The sequence below is a fragment of the Homo sapiens genome, chromosome 2, assembly GCF_000001405.40.
Source record: "Homo sapiens chromosome 2, GRCh38.p14 Primary Assembly".
In the NCBI taxonomy this organism is placed as follows: Eukaryota; Metazoa; Chordata; class Mammalia; order Primates; family Hominidae; genus Homo; species Homo sapiens.
Window position 1 is genome coordinate 233,297,848 of NC_000002.12, and position 14,101 is coordinate 233,311,948.

Below are 14,101 nucleotides of genomic sequence, written 5' to 3' on the forward strand. Positions count from 1 at the left end.
ATAAGATGGCTTGGGTAGTAATAAAATAAGTCTGTGGCTCTCAAATTCTGTAATCTGGATTGTACCCCATTTCGCAAATGGGGAAATGTTTAACAGCTCAGCAAGAAGTTATCCTCGTCCTAGAGTCCTGGGCCCATCTGCTTCAGCACTGCCTGCCACACCAGGCCCACAGGGACAGGCGTGACACTAAGGTGTGCCTTCAAAAGTGAATGGGCTGTACTCCTCCGCATGGCTTTTTCTCTCGTGTCCTGCTTTAATAAGTCCTGCTTACGTTAGAAATTCCTATTTTTCATCTAAAAAACTTTGGAAATCCCGGCACTTTGGGAGGCTGAGGCAGGCGGATCACGAGGTCAGGAGATTGAGACCATCCTGGCTAACACGGTGTAACCCCATCTCTACTAAAAATACAAACAATTAGCTGGGCATGGTGTGTGCCTGTAGTCCCAGCTAGTCAGGAGGTTGAGGCAGGAGAATCACTTGAACCTGGGAGGTGGAGGTTGCAGTGAGCCGAGATCGCGCCATTGCAGTCCAGCCTGGGCGACAGAGCAACACTCTGTCTCAAAAAAAAAAAAAAAAAAAAAAAACAACCTTTGGCAATCTTGAGTAAAATGAGGTATGCCTGTATCTGCATAGATTCTGTAAAAGTGCATGAGGTATGTGATGCCTGCCAGTGAAAGATAGGACTAATCACAAAATGATTCTTAGCTGCCTCACTTAAGCAAAATTTGACTTCTCTGGCCTCCAGGAACTCTGGCTTTCCTAACAGGTCTCAACCCTTCCTGGCCTGTTTGTTCCAGATCCTCCCTCTCTGTGCATGCTCCAACTGTTCCTGTCCTCTTAACCTTCCCCGCTCCTTAGTGAAGCTTCCCCGGCACCATGTTGCCTTCATATTCTAACCTGCAATTGGCGAGCACAGTGAGAACATCCAAACCAGGACAAATGCAGAACCCAAGAGAGTAGACAGTATTGTCTCTAATGAGTCCAGTGTTCCCACCACTTAACAGCCCTGTCAGTCTCAGTCAGCCCTCTTTGATGCTTCCCCCCAGGGTATTTTAACGCAAATTTCAAGCATGTTGTCTTACCCATAAATTACCATGCATCCCAACCCAAACCGGCAAAGGTACCTGGCTGTGATTAACCTACTGGAATTAACAGTGACAGTATCACGCACCCTCCAGTCCAATGTTCCTAATTGTTGCAGCACTGTTTCTTATGATGGGTTTGAAACAAAATCCAGTTAGCTTTTGCTGCGTAACACACTACCTCAAACTTCATGGCTTAAGACTGATTATTTACTAAGATTCTGTGAGGCAGCTGGCCTGGCCTAGTGGGAACGGATGGTGGAGGTGGCTTTGTTCACATGTCTGCTGGGGGGACTGCTGGCACAGCAAGCAAGCAAGCAAGCATCTGTGTGTAAGCAAGCCCTTGTCACTCTGCTTGGGTCACTTTTTTTTTTTGAGATAGAGTCTTGCTCTGTTGCCCAGGCTGGAGTGCAGTGGCACGATCTTGGCTCACTGCAAGTTCTGCCTCCTGGGTTCACGCCATTCTCCTGCCTCAGCCTCCCGAGCAGCAGGAACTACAGGCGCCCGCCACCACACCCGGCTAATTTTTTTGTATTTTTAGTAGAGACGGGGTTTCACCGTGTTAGCCAGGATGGTCTCGATCTCCTGACCTCATGATTCGCCCGCCTCAGCCTCCCAAAGTGCTGGGGTTACAGGCGTGAGCCACTGTGCCCGGCGTTGGGTCACCTTTTTAACGTTCCATCGTCTAACGTGGATGGCACAGGCAGCGCCACTGCAGTGAGAGCACAGCAAGGGGAACGGGGCGGCCATCTCGGCGGCTGGCTGCAGCAGGGTCTACATGCTGTTCCCCCATCACCTGAGTATTTATTCTAGAACAGTAATTCTTGCGGACCTTTTTTTGAATGCCCTACACTGGATGTGGTTGACTTCTCTGTAAGCATACACTTACGTCTCAAGTGGGGACATTAGTCTTGCACATGACTGTGGGCCCAGCCCCCACTGTGGATTGCTCTGACCCCAGGCACAGGAAGATGACGGCAGGCAAATTCTGACTTTGGGCTTCATTTTTGTCAGAGAACTAGTGAGGAGAGGATAGGTAGGCATGCTTGTGAGCCAGGCAGTAAGAGGATCAACTGTAAACAGCCTGGCTTCTAGTTAGGAAGCCATAAGTCCTGTTGCCCCCAGAAGTACACCCGGATGGTCATAAGAGACTAAAGAGATCTCAGGGCCATCATATGCTTTACATCCGATAGAGTGCTTAGCACATGGTGGGTCTATAGTAGTAGAATTAGTGGAAAACAAACCAAAACAGCCCCAAGATTGTCCCAAGATATAACTAGCTGAAAGGAAGAGAAAATCGTTTAAAAATGTAATAGTAGGCCAGGCGTGGTGGCTCTCGCCTGTAATCCCAACACTTTGGGAGGCTGAGGTGGGCGGATCACTTGAGACCAGGAGTTCGAGACATGCCTGGGCAACATCATGAAACCCTGTCTCTACTAAAAATGCAAAAATTAGCCGGGTGTGGTGGCACATCCCTGTAATCCCAGCTACTCAAGAGGCTGAGGCAGGAGGATCACCTGAGCCCCAAAGGTCAAGGCTGCAGTGAGCCGTGATGATGCCACTGCACTCCAACCTGGGCAACAGAGCAAGACCGTGTCTCAAAAGAAAAAAAAAATTTGAGATTCACATAACATAAACCATTTTAAAGTAAACAATTCAGCGGCATTTAATAAATCCACAGTGTTGTGCAACCACCCCTTCTAATTCCAACAAGAAAGAGGATCAGTGCTTTTCAGACTTTTCTGATCAGTAGCAGTGGATCTGTCTGAAGAAAACTTGCAAGCCCTCTCCCCAGAAAAAGGCATATGTACATAATTCTGCATGCAACTTAGGTTCACAGATCCCGAAGCCCATCCAGGGATCCCAGGGTAAGCCCTCGGTTTGTGGTTGGCTCTCAACTCTTCTGTAGAAGCAACCTCATCGTCATCAGAACCCCCTTTAGTGTTGGGGCCCAGGTGGCATGACCAGAGGGTGAAGAAGCACACAAGATAGACATCAGCCTCACCGCTGGAGAGGACGAGAAAATCTTGATCAGGATCCTCCTGCACAAGACTTGACCTTCTGAAGGCCATCTGCACATTCCATAAATCTTTCCACCTTGCAAGACAAGGCAGGCTGGGGGGTCCCCTCAGACAGACGGATAAAGGAAATAGGCCAGGCTACTCCCTCAAGGTCACAATGGATTCAGCAGTAGGCCAAGAACCCAGGACTCCATCTGGGGCTGTTTGTACATCATGCTCCTATTACATGGGAACCTGCAACATTAAGTACCATTTTTAGCACGATGCCTCCAGACAGACATTGGAAATCTGTCTGGGGTGGGACCTCCAGGGTGGTGAGAGGGTTTCAGTGCCTACAAGGCTAATCATGGAAGGATTCACGTGTGGAAGAGAGATTAACTTCGAGCAATGGAGAGAAGCAGAAGGGAAGCCAATTCCATCCTAACATAATTTTTCACTCTTTATACTAATAATTTGGTATTAGTAAATCATAATTTACTAATTCTAATAGTAAATAATACTAGTAAATACTAATAATAGTAAATACTAATAATTAGTAAATAATAGTTTTGTCACTCTTTATGCTATTTGAAAAAAAGATGGATATACAACAAAGTAGTGATTTCCCCATCCTTGGAAGCATTCAGTAACTTATTGGGGATGTTAACAGAGGAGATCAAAGTAAGGGATGGAATGGGAACAAAGTGATTTTTTTTAAAGGTCTCTCATTACCTTGTGCACCCACAGGATTGCGTTTATGATTTCAGATATTATTAGCCAGCCCAACCCAAAACAGCCCTCTATTGTTTAAACTGATTGACTAAGTCTAGGAGATACATGTTGGAAATAAGGTGACTTTTAAAAGCTCCGATTCCCTGGCACTCTTTATAGATACCTCAAACCTCCCAGGTGTTCTCTGCTTCAGTAAAATCAAGGCAATGAGGACACAAGATTTTCATTTTGTAGCTGATGTTTAGCAGAGTGTACCCATTTTCCTCGTGCATGTGCCCCAGTAAACCCTTAAGACGACAACCCCACCCCAAAGCCCATAAGCCTCTTAGCTGGATGTCTCCACCCCGCCCCCACCTCCCCTGCCCCGCAAGCCGGCTGCTGTGTTTAGTGTTTGGAGATGAAACACAGGGTTCATAGCATTGTCTCACTGGAAGCCAACCCCAGAGAAACAAGCATGCTATAGCCACTGGTTCCCAGACTTTGAGAATTCATAGACCAGTAATTCGCAAAAATAAATCTAGGGGAAGATTGCCAGCTTTTAATGTTTGCCAAGTAAGGACTTTTTTCTAAACTACCATATACTCTTGGTTATTATTTCATAAAAAGAAAGGACATTTTTCTCCTTATGCTTAGGAGCTGCATTTTGAAATACGGGTAAAATGTCGTGATGTCTGCATGTACGTTCAAATAGTTAAAAAGGAAAAAAACAGAGATAGACACAGAGGATTGCAGGCAGCAAAGTGTTAAGTGTCAAGTCTTGAAGTTGACTGTGTGGGTGTCTATTGTATTGTTCTTCTAACTTTTCTGTGCTTTAAAATTTCATAATAAAATTGTAGAAAATGCAGAGCTAATGACAGAAGGCAGATCTGTGATTGCCTGGGGCAGGAGCGTGAATGGAGGAGTTGATGGAAATGGGTACAGGGAACTTTGGGGAGTGGTGGAATTGATCACAGTGATGGTTACACAATGTATATGATGACCAAAACTCATCAAGCTGTACACTCAAAATGGGTGAATTTTGTTGGTTATTAAATAGATATATTTTACCTCTCTATATGTATCTGCCTGCACTCATCTATGTCTGTCACTATTTCAAAATTCACCCGTTTCATATATATATATCTCAATAAAGATAGAGGGCAAGAAGAAGAACAATGCCTTTTTTTTTTTTTTTTTTTTTGAGATAGAGTATAACTCTGTTACCCAGGCTGGAATGCAGTCTCGGCTCACCGCAACCTCCACCTCCCAGGTTCAAGTGATTCTTTGCCTCAGCCTCCCAAGTAGCTGGGATTATAGGCGCCTACCACCACACCCAGCTGATTTTTGTATTTTTCGTAGAGAAGGGGTTTCACCATGTTGGCCAGGCTGCTCTCGAACTACTTACCTCAAGTGATCTGCCCGCCTCGGCCTCCCAAAGTGCTGGGATTACAGGCGTGAGCCACCATGCCTGGCTGAAGAAGGATATTTTAATACCAAAAAATTAAAAAGCTCATAATCTCAAAAGGACAGTCCTTTATATTGAATAAGTTTGGCTCCCAGAAAAACTACAAGAGTGTCCTTATTTTTCTCATTTCTCCACCAAGAAGAGAAAAAATCATCACAGACCAAGAGTTGGGAATAACATTTCCAAAAAGAGTGAGATCTGTCATCCAGTCCACCCAAATTTCCCCACCTGCACGGCATTGGCAGAGCAGTGACTAAGATCTGCAGATCTGTGCCTTCCAGCAGCCGGGAACGATGAAGCAGCAGGAGAATGGGGGAATCTGGAAGCACTCACAGCTGCAAACTGGGCCTGGGTCCTGCAGCCTCAGCTCAGGGCAGCCCTCTGATGGGGACACTGAAAGAAGCACCCTAGTCATTTTTTCCCCTTTGTTTTTTTTTTTTTGAGTTGGAGTCTGGTTCTGTTGCCTAGGCTGGAGTGCAGTGGCACAATCTTGGCTCACTTCAACCTCCATCTCCTGGGTTCAAGTGATTCTTCTGCCTCAACCTTCCAAGTAGCTGGGATTACACACATCACCATGCCCAGCTTTTTTTTTTTTTTTTTTTTGTATTTTTAGTAGAGACAGGGTTTCACCATGTTGGCCTGGCCTCAAGCTCCTGACCTTCAGGTGATCCGCCCACCTCGGCCTCCCAGAGTGCTGGGATTACAGGTGTAAGCCACCGTGCCCGGCCACAGCAATTTTTTTTTTGCCCACGCTGGAATACAGTGACATGCTCACGGTTCACTATAACCTCAACATCCCAGGCCCAAACAATCCTCTGGCATAAGCCAAGTAGCTGGGACCACAGGCACACACCACCAGGCCTGGCTAATTTTGTTTACTTTTTATAGAGATAGGGTCTCACTATGTTGCCCAGGCTGTTCTCAAACTCCTGTGCTCAAGTGATCCACCTGCCTCTGCCTCTCAGAGTGCTCAGATTACAGGTGTGTGCCACTGTGCCTGGCCCTATTTATTGTTTTTTGTTTGTTTGTTTTTTTGTTGTTTGTTTTTGAGACAAGGACTCGCTCTGTTGCCCAGGCTGGAATACAGTGGTGTGATCATGGCTCACTCCAGCCTCAACCTCCCAGGCTCAAGCCGTCCTCCAGCCTCAGCCTTCCAGAGTGCTGGGATTACAGGCGTGAGCCACCACACCTCACTTATATAACACAGTTTTGTATTTTAACCTTTCTATTATAGGAGCAGTAAATGGTCATAGGAGAAAATGTGAAAAATTATAGACAAGAAAATTGAAACAAAGCCTACCATTTCATTACAAGGTAATGAGAGACCTTTAACTACCAATGTTAGCTTAAGGTGTATTCTTGCAAAGTATGCATAGGTATAGCATGCATATGAACCTGCATGTATGTGTGTAAATATGCTTGTGTGTATATGCATGTGTGTGTAAATGTACATATATGTATGTATACACAAATACATAGTCTCTGTGTGTTTGCAAAACGTGGACATGCTAAGCACACCATTCTGCAGTCTTGTTGGTTCTGTCACAATCTCTCACCTTTCTACTCCAGGCATTTTACCATAGTCAGATTTTCCCAATGAACCCAAAATGTCCTACACATCCTTTTTGACCAGTTGTGTATTCAGTCTGGGGCTGCACATGACATCTGGGTCTCGAGTGTCTTAGCGTCTTTTAATCTAGTAAACCCCATGTCTTTTTTCTTTTTTTTTTTTTTTTGAGACAGAGTCTCGCTCTGTCACCCAGGCTGGAGTGCAGTGGCACGATCTTGACTCACTGCAACCTCCCCTCCCGGGTTCAAGCAGTTCTTCTGCCTCAGCCTCCCGAGTAGCTGGAACTACAGGCGCCCACCACCACGCCTGGCTAATTTTTGTATTTTTAGTAGAGACGGAGTTTCACTATGTTGGCCAGGCTGGTCTCGAACTCCTGACCTTGTGATCCGTCCGCTTCGGCCTCCCAAAGTGCTGGGATTACAGGCGTGAGCCACTGCACCTGGCCTACCCATTTCTATGGCATTGTTTGTTGGATTTGTCTGGCTGCTCACTTGCGTCACGTAGCTCGTTCCTTGTATTTCCGATAAACTAGAAATGATGTCTGAAGGCTCATGGATTCAAGTTAACCCAAGGGGACACATCCCATGTGGCTGACACCACCAGCAATGCTAAGATTGACCATGGCATCTGCCGTGCACCTTGTGATGACACCATGATCCGTGTGGCATCACTTCACTCCTACAGTCATTTTCCCAGCAACTCTTCACCTAATGGTTTTAGCACCAATGAATAATCTTTGTGTTTTAAAATAGGGGGTTTGCAGTTCAGGTATGGTGAGGCCAACCATAGAGTATGCTAAGGATAGGGTGACATTGAAGTAAAGACTCAAAGCCATTGAAGGAGTGAGCCATGTGGCTGGCTGTGGGAAGACTGTTCCAGGAGAGGAAATAGCAAGTGGAAAGGCCTAGACGGAGGTTTAAAGAAAAGCAGGCCAGTGGTGGTGGCTCACGTCTGTAACCCCAACACTTTAGAAGGTTGAGGTGAGAGGATCAGTTGAGGTTGGGAGTTCGAGACCAGCCTGAGCAACATAGCAAGACCCCATCTCTACAAAAAGGTTAAAGAATTAGCTGGGTGTGGTGGCATGTGCCTGTAGTCCTAGCTACTCGGGAGGCTTAAGTGGGAGGAGCGCTTGAGCCCAGGAGTTCAAAGCTGCAGTGAGCTATGATTGCACCACTGCACTCCAGCCTGGGTGACAGAGCGAGACCCTGTCTCTAAAAGAAAAGAAAACAGGCTCAGTACTCTGGAGTGAAGTGGGCAAGGGAGAGGGTGGTGAGAAATAAAGTCAGAGGTAAAGGGGGGCCAGAGCATGCCGGACCTGGCAAGCATTGTCCAGACTTAAATGGGAAGCCATTGGAATGTTTGGGTGGATGCTGATACCCCAAACGTCAGAACAGGCTTTCTGCATATACTTGTTTCATTCCCAAGTCAGTCCCCCATGTAAGTGTGTTAGTGGTCGCAGAGTCCCCTCCATCCATTCCCTGAGTGTTCTTGGGAGCAGGCATTGTTCTGGGCACTGTGAAGACAAAAGTGAAGGAAACAAAATGGCCTAGGCCCTGCCCTCATGGAGCCTGGACTCCAGTGAGGGAAGAGAGACTGTAGAATAATTCCCAAGCAAGAGTGAAATGTGGCCAGGCACGGTAGCTCATGCCTATAATCCCAGCACTTCAGGAGGCCAGGAGTTTGACACCAACCTGGCCAACATGACGAAACCCCATCTCTATTAAAAATACAAAAATTAGCTGGGCATGCTGGTGCACAACTGTAATCCCAGCTACTCGGGAGGCTGAGACAGGAGAATCGCTTGCACCCAGGAGGTGGAGGCTGCAGTGAGCCGAGATCGCGCCACTGCACTCCAGCCCAGGCAACAGAGTGAGACTCTATCTCGAAAGCAAAAAAAAAAAAGAGTGAAATGCAAGCGTGCCTCCAATCTGGTCCTGGAGGTTGGGGATAGCTCCCCTGAGGAAGTGACTCCTGGTCAAAAATCTGAAAGGCCAAGAAGAGTCAACAAAGTGGAGAGAGGAGAGGCTTGTTCCAGGCAGAAATAATAGTGGGAAGGAGGAAGCGTGGCAGACGGCGTGGAAGGAAAGGCAGGCAGAGGTTCCAGAGGCTGCAAGCTTTTTGCCTGCATTCTAAGAGCAATGGGTGATTGTAAGCGAGGGATGACAGGGCTCAGAAGGTCTCTCTGCCTCTGTGTGGAAAAGGGCTTGGAGGGTAGAAATAAATGTGGTCGGCTGGGTGCGGTGACTCATTCCTGGAATCCCAGCACTTTGGGAGGCCGAGGCAGGTGGATCACCTGAGGTCAGGAGTTCGAGACCAGCCTGGCCAACATAGTAAAACCCTGTCTCTACTAAAAATACAAAATTAGCTCAGTGTGGTGGTAGGCGCCTGTAGTCCCAGCTACTCTGGAGGCTGAGGCAAGAGAATCACTTGAACCTGGGAGGCAGAAGTTTCAGCAAGCTGAGACTGCACCACTGCACTTCAGCCTGGGAGGCAGAAGTTTCAGCAAGCTGAGACTGCACCACTGCACTTCAGCCTGGGAGACAGAGCAAGACTCCATCTCAAAACAAAAAACAAAACAAAAAAAAGAAAAGAAATAGATGTAGTCAGACAGTGGGGAATCACTCCGGTCCTGAGAAGCAAAGGCGGTGCTGGGGATGGGAGGATGCAGACAGGTTCCAGAGACACTGAGGGGATCAACAGGACTCCTGAAGCCATCAATCAGTAGGACCGGGTGGAGGAGAGGGACAGATCCAGCTTGGCTTGCATAACACCAGGTTCATCTTGAGGTTGACATTTCTCCTTGACCTTTTTGTTTAGTCCCCACCCGCAAGGTCGCATTAGCTGCCTGCTGAGTTTAATCAAATCTCTTCCTGTCCTGGCAATGCCCGGGAATGAAGAGATAATCAGTCTATTTCCAGAATCCAAAGAGGTTTAGAAGAAAAAGTAGCTTTCATTTAGCTGTTGGCCCTCCCACCAACCTTCCCCAAGTCAGCTGGGTGACTCATACATCTGTGAGACCCTCCGTATGGAGACCGGGGCGGGGGGTGTTGCTTAATGCTTAGAACTGCTGAAACTACCAGTTCACTGTCTCAGCACTAATCCAACTCTGCTCCTTAAGTGGGATTTGGCTTTTAGACATTGAGACCTGGATGCTGGGCATCCTCGCTAGATCCCCTACAAATTCCCCACATACGTAGGCCAGGAGCCTCAGCGGTGCCCCTTCAGGCTCATCTGGCAAGACGGTACCAGCTTGCTCAGAACAGGGGCTGGCTATTCATCATCTCAGAGCATAGAGACCCTCTCCTTGCCACCCGGCCCTTCCCACCTGGTTGGTGACAAATCACAAGGTATGTGACCACCACAGGCCAAAACCTTATCAGAAACCTGGGGCAGGTGTGGGGAAGAGCAAGGATGGGCGTTTTCCTGCAGACAGTATGTCCCGCCTTCACCTTTTCTGTGTGGTTTCCATAAGACTTGGTTGCTATTTAAGGAGACTTGGAGTGAGCGGGTGCAATGGCTCATGCCTATAGTCCCAGTGACTCAGGAGGCTGAGGCTGGAGGATCACTTGAAGCCAGGAATTCGAGACCAACTTGAGCAATACAGTCAGACCCAGTCTCTACAAAAAAACAAAAATAAAAATAAATTAGCTAGGCATGGTGTCACACACCTGTAGTCCTGGCTACTCAGCTGGCTGAGGCAGGAGGATCACGAGCCCAGGAGTTCGAGGCTGCGGTGAGCTATGATTGTGGCACTGCCCTCCAGCCTGGGCAACAGAACGAGCTCCTATATCTTAAAAAAAAAAAAAACCTCAGAGTATGCTTAATTCTAGACCGCTAAGATGGCCTCTTAATTGTAAAACAGAGTGGCTATCTCTTAGTAGGAATTGCCAAATAGAACTTTTGGGATTTTAATATATTCTTTTTTTTTAAAAAAAGTGATAGGATCTTGCTATGTTGCCCAGGCCAGTCTCCAACTCCTGGTTTCAAATGATCCTCTCGCTTCAGCCTCCCAGAATGTTGAGATGACAGGTGTGAGCCACAGTGCCCGGCCATTAATATCTTCTTGAAAACAGTCTTTGCGAAGTGGTTATGTTGTGGTTTTCAGGAACTTTTCTGATTTATTCGCCATTAGACACAGTCACGATAGAACTTTAAATTCAACCTGGCTAAGTGTGATAACACCAAAGGTTAGTCAGAAAGTAAAACCTCATTGGAATCTAGCTAGACTCCCTGGCAAGGTGTACTGAGAAATGTTTGAAGCTTACCAAGAAAAATAAAATATTGAAAACACCCCAAAGCATGCTGCAGTAAAATACAAACTAAGCAAAGACTCACCGATGAAACTCGGATGTTGAAGCCGGTACAAGGGCATGGTGAGGACGCACAGGATCTCGTGAGTAGGTTTCATAACTAGGATGTTCTTGACTTGATATTTAGGATTGTCTTACCTTTCTCCAACCCTCTAACACCTGACCAACACCCCAAGGTGGTAGAAGTTGCCAGGGACAGATAACATGGCAGCCAGCGGGAAGACCAGCAAGTCCGAACCGAACCATGTTATCTTCAAGAAGATCTCCCGGGACAAATCGGTGAGTGGTGCACAAGTGAGTGATTTGATAGAAATTATTGTTTAAAAAAAATGGAGCTTTTTCAAGTACAGTGTAGTCATGATCAACATCAAAACTCTTTGAGGGCCAGGGCGCGGTGGCTCATGCCTGTAATCCCAGCACTTTGGGAGGCGGAGGCGGGATAACTTGAGGCCAGGAGTTCGAGACCAGCCTGGCCAACATGGCAAAACCCATCTCTACTAAAAATACAAAAATTAGCTGGGTATGGTGGCAGGCACCTGTAATCCCAGACTTGGGAGGCTGAGGCACAAGAATCACTTGAACCCAGGAGGTACAGGTTGCAGTGAGCCCAGATGGTGCCACTGCACTCTAGCCTGGGTAGCAGAGGGAGACTCTGTCTCAAATAAAAAACAAACAAACACTGTGAGGGCCAGGGAAGCTTTGTGTCTATTTTTGTCTCTGTCTAAGATGGATGATCACTGAGCTATAAATGAGTGAATGAACTGCAGAAATAGAGCTTCTCTTCAGTCTCATCAAGACTTTAGTCCTGTGTCCCTCAGTTTTCTCCGAATCCCTCAATCCCCACACTGTCACCCCCACCTCTGCATCTTTTCCTAGCCAGCCTTGAACCCTTGACTTACTATTTAAACACAGTTTTGTCAGTACCTGTGATGCCCTTGGCCTTTTGTCTATCTATTGTGTCACCTGCCTGGGTAAAACCCAGACAGTGATCAATGTGACTCCTTCTTCTCCGTGCACCTACCCCACCCGGGGGGTCTCAAGCCTCAGCTGGGCCCGCAGGGCCATTGGATAAGGGAAAATGCCCCAGTCTGCCCCCTTTCCACCACTCTCCAGGGGCACGTTAGATGCTCCAGGTGTGCCCATGAACTTCCTCGCATGGGAGAGGGTCCACCGTCCAGCCTCTGTGGATAGCTCCACTCGAAAGCTTCTTGTGGGCCAAAAATCTAGCTCAGCAACATCTAGTGCAAGCCACATATGTAATTTTAAATTTTCTAGTAGCCACATTTAAAAAGTAAGAAGAAACAGGTGAAATTCATTTTGATGTTATATTTTATTTCAGCCCACTATATCCAAAAAACTATCAGTTCAACTTGTAAATAATAATATAAGAATTATTGAAATCTGATGTGTATTTTATGTTTACAGAACATGTCAATTTGGAATGGCCATATTTCAGGTGTCCGGGAGCCACCTTAAGCAGTGGCTACCCTACTGGACAGGGTAGCTCGCCATCATTCTGGCTTTTTTTTTTTTTTTTTTTTTGAGACAGAGTCTCACTCTGTCACCGAGGCTGGAGTGCAGTGGCGTGATCTCAGCTCACTGCAACCTCTGCCTCCCAGGTTCAAGCAATTCTGCCTCGGCCTCCCTAGTAGCTGGGACTACAGGCATGTGCCACCGCGCCCAGCTAATTTTTGTATTTTTAGTAGAGACAGGGTTTCACCATGTTGGCCAAGCTGGTCTCGAACTCCTGACCTCAGGTGATCCGCCCATCTTGGCCTCCCCAAGTGCTGAGATTACAGGTGTGAGCCACCGCACCTGGCCCATTGTGGCTGACTTCTGAACCCGGTATGGGGTCCAAAGAACCTCCCCATCCTTACCGTGCCACCCAGGAGATCCGGCTTTGCCTGTGTGCTTTCTGCCTTCTCCTCTCCTAGTTAAGGAACTCGGTCATTTTAATCAAGTACTCTGATTCTTTCGTTCTCCAAGCCCTTTCCCAAGTTGTATCTTTCCAGTCCATTTTATCTCAACTTCTGGCTGAAGAGGAAACCACTCGTGTTGGTTTCCCACGTTGTTTTCCCCTTGCTCCTAGATTTTCCACCAAGAAATGTAGATGGTTTTTGTAGATAAGTCCTCACAGGTGGGAAAAGAGAATTCAATTCCTGTCTCATGTATTCAGATCATTTTGCCAGCGATGTCTGTGTGGCCCCAGGCATGGTGTGCCAGGGCTCTGAGCCCATTTCTCTGTGATTCTCCCGACGCTGCCCTCTTCTTTGACCTTCATCCTCCAGCAGGTGGCTAAATGACTGCCCCTGCTCCTGGCGTCTCACCCACACTTGACAACATCCAGAAGGAAGAGGCTGTGGTTTCCTGGGGTCTCTTGTAAGGGTCAGGAAATCTTTCCCAAGACTCTTCTCTCATATCTCATTGGCCAAAACTGGGTCACATGTCCACTGTAAACCAATCCCAAGCCAGAAGAATTAGATGATCGTAGTGAATCAGGCCAATCAAGAATCGTACCCTGGAGCCGGCCTCCTCTGAGCATACCGCCTGGTGGAAGATGGTGGTCCCTGAACAATAGTTGGCGGCTTTTATCCAGGAAGAAGGGGTGTGTGGCTGTTGGATGGGCCCCCGAAGGCTGGCTACAGTCTCACATCACCCACTTCTCTACCTGCCCCCATCCTGCCCCTGTCCTTCCTGTTGCAGTGGAAGGGGTAGTTTGCTCCCATCTGAGGTTCACCACCTCTTACACCCTGGGTTTCATGGTTGGCCACCTTCTCAGGGGCCTCAGTCATTGGTCTGGCTGTGTGTGCAGCCTCTCCTCTCTGCTAGTACTTTGTCTGAGCATAAAAATAAGTACCAGCCAGGCGCGGTGGTTTATGCCTGTAATCCCAGCACTTTGGGAGGCCAAGGCAGGTGGATCACCTGAGGTCAGGAGTTCGAGACCAGCCTGGCCAACATGGAGA

General features: G+C 47.4%; 1 protein-coding gene across 5 annotated transcripts in view; it reads left to right on the forward strand.

Moving 5' to 3' along the window:
* The window catches only part of SAG (S-antigen visual arrestin), a 39,240-nt gene continuing 35,107 nt past the window's right edge, over positions 9,969 to 14,101 (forward strand). For 4 of the 5 annotated variants that reach the window (XR_001738882.2, XM_017004641.2, XM_017004642.2 and 1 more), the window contains exon 1: positions 11,315 to 11,417. Coding sequence is in view for 4 of the 5 variants with exons in the window: in XM_017004641.2 (XP_016860130.1) it covers positions 11,343 to 11,417 (75 nt within the window). In the remaining variant the exon portion in view is untranslated. Of the gene's footprint in view, positions 10,176 to 11,314; positions 11,418 to 14,101 lie in introns of those variants that run through there. The other variant, NM_000541.5, reaches the window with a different exon arrangement.